Raw genomic sequence first — 3,219 nt, forward strand, 5'->3', positions numbered from 1 at the left:
AAGAAGCTCTAACTCTCATACTTAAAAAGAGATGTTTACAAAAGTCAGAGGAAGAAAGCAAGCCAAATTTTCTTCAATAATAGCAGTCAGTCATGCATATGAGACAGACCCTAGTTAGGTCCTTAGTTTTTTCATCTGCAAAACAAGATTAGCAGTATTGATTAGGTACCAACTCTCTGCTGTGTCCCCCGCCTCATCATCACTGAGAAGTAAACATCTGAGCAGAACTCAAGCTCTAAACTGAAAATAAGAAAATGAGTAATCTCATTTTTATATGTTAATCCATATTTAATGTACATCATAAAATATTAACAGCACTTTTTAAAAATTTTGGCAAGTTCTGGAGGAAAAACATTTCCCAGGGAGGCATACATAAACTTTTCTGTGTTTTATACAAAGGGAAATCTACTCTTATTAAAATATCAGACCTATTTTTATGTAACACTTTTTAAAAATAACATTAAATGACACAACTCAATAAAACAAGATACACTGGAGAAAGATCTTCTTAGAGTTCTGAACTTAAAATAGAACGATGGAGGCACTGCAAATCATTGAGAAAGACCGGGATTATGCAGCCCAACGTTTGAGGACATGACTCACCATTTGGGGGGAGAAAGCTTTCAGAAGATCATCTTACAATATATACCACAATTTTATATTAGCAGAAGACAGAACTTAATATTTTGTGAGCCTTTTGGTGAAAAAGCCCATTGTAAGGTGAAAAGAATTAAAAATGAAAACACAAGGGAAAAGATGAGCAAATTTGACTGCAACAGCAACAAAAGCCTAATTTAAAAAATTTAAAATGAATTATAATTAATATTTAGTTTAACCTTTAAAGGTAAACAACAAATGGAAAATATACACATAAAGGACATAAGACAAAGGTGACTATCTTTGCTTGAAAAGGAACCCATATCGAACTCGTAGCCCCTCCATCGCTATCAAAAAGAACGGATAGGGTTTAATTCCTTATCTTAGAGAAAGGTCTGGAGATGTAGATATACATACCCCTCCACTCCTGGATTAAGGAGATGCAGTAAAAGAGAGAAAGTTCTGTTTTTTATCTGCATTTTGTATTGTTTTAATTTTAAAATAAGTGTGTATTACTTTTGGGATTTAAAAAAGACATACATTTTTAGGATAAAATGCAGCATCATAACAGAGAAAAAAATTCATTAAAACAGGAAATAGTACTAGTAAACATGGATAAATAACTAAACTCAGTCATAATCAAAGAGAAACTAACGAAATACATGTTGTCATTTTGCTTCTATCAAATTAGAAGAATAGGAAACACAGTCGCTAATGCTGTTATGTAATGATGACGACAGGATCAATCAGTATCCCTTTGGTAAGGCAATTTAGCAATACATTCAAGAGCTCCAAAACAATTCATAGCCTTGACCCAATCATTTCATTTCTGATAAATCCATTTTAAGAAGTAATTTATTCTAAGGAATAATATATTAAAAACGTATAATAATAATAATAATATAAATTCATTTCTGATAAATCGATTTTAGAAGTAATTTATTCTAAGTAATTTATTCTAAGGAATAATAATATAAAAAGAGCTCCACATGAAAAGGTAGAAATAATAAATGTCCAACAACATGGAAATGATTATATATGAATCATACATGCATTCAGTGAAATATTAGACAACCAATAAAAGCATGCTTAAAAAGCTATCTGATAATGTAATATAAAAATATATTATTTCCAATAATATATAAATCACAGAAAAATTTTAAACAAAAATTAGACTTCTAATTGTCTATACAGTACAACAATAACTATATACTTTTACAAAATACCTATATAGACTGGGCGCGGTGGCTCATGCCTGTAATCCCAGCACTTTCGGAGGCCGAGGCGGGTGGATCGCCTGAGGTCCGGAGTTCGAGACCAGCCTGACCAACATGGAGAAACCCCATCTCTACTAAAAATACAAAATTAGCCAGGCGTGGTGGCACATGCCTGTAATCCCAGCTCCTTGGGAGGCTGAGGCAGGAGAATGGCTTGAACCCAGGAAGCGGAGGTTGCTGTGAGCCGAGATCACGCCATTGCACTCCAGCCTGGGCAACAAGAGTGAAACTCTGTCTCAAAAAAAAAAAAATGCCTATATTCAAAAGGAAAGAATGGATCACAAATTAATATGCCAAATGTTACCCCAAAATGGTTGTGTTTACAGGCATGTAAGCTTTTACTACAGGGCTGACACATAGGAAGTATTAATAAGAGCAGCTATTATTTTTGCTTTGTTATTATGAATGGCAATACATATTTATTTTTTATTTAATGATCTGGTATGACTTTAAAATAAAAACTAATCCTCTTGAAAGAATTAGAAACTAAATTTGAATGGGGGTGACTTCTGGGTATTGCAATTACGGGTAATTTGTACTTTCTTGCTTGTCTTTTTCTGAATTTTATACAAGAAACATATATTCCTTATATAAATGTTAAGGGGGGGTTATTTACTTATGTATTTATTATGATTATTATGAGATGGAGTTTCGCTCTTGTCGCCCAGGCTGGAGTGCGATGGTGCAATCTCGGCTCACTGCAACCTCCGCCTCCCAGGTTCAAGAGATTCTCCTGCCTCAGCCTCCTAAGGAGCTGGGATTACAGGAGCCCACCACCACACCTAGCTAATTGTTTTTATTTTTAGTAGAGACAGGGTTTCACCATGTTGTCCAGGCTCGTCTCAAACTCCTGACCTCATGTGATCTACCCGCCTTGGCCTCCCAAAGTGCTGGGATAACAGGCATGAGCCACAATGCCCTGCCAGGGGTTCTTAAATGTTTAACTTTTAACATCTGTATTTAACACATGGTTCTTACTGATCTGAACACATTACTGCTCTGAAGTTCACTCAGAGTCAATTTATTGAAATCATATTCACTACAATATGTTCATATCTATCAAGATAAGTGACCTGGAAAGCAGGACTTACACTTTTTACTCTTTATACCTCTGTAAAGTTTTACTTTCTTATACTGAACATGTATAAATGTATTATCTATATAATTTTTTAAATAATTTAAAGGAAAACTTGGAGAAAAACAAACTGTTTTGTCCTCAGACTATAATCAGGGCACTTAATACTGTTGTGACAAAAGTAATACAGTAACTATCAACTAGTAATCTCAAACTAGTTATTTCAAACAGATACGTTGCTTTTACGAAGGAGATGACTGTATTTGGAAG

At 34.2% G+C, this 3,219-nt stretch overlaps 1 annotated feature.

Annotated features, from left to right (window-relative positions):
• Positions 487 to 687: a silencer, noted in NCBI's record as "peak6932 fragment used in MPRA reporter construct". NCBI's record gives its function as "represses an SCP1 promoter by STARR-seq MPRAs in K562 erythroleukemia cells {active_cell/tissue: K562}" and the evidence as "EXISTENCE:reporter gene assay evidence [ECO:0000049][PMID:32103011]".

Source organism: Homo sapiens, chromosome 8, assembly GCF_000001405.40.
Source record: "Homo sapiens chromosome 8, GRCh38.p14 Primary Assembly".
Lineage (NCBI taxonomy): Eukaryota > Metazoa > Chordata > Mammalia > Primates > Hominidae > Homo > Homo sapiens.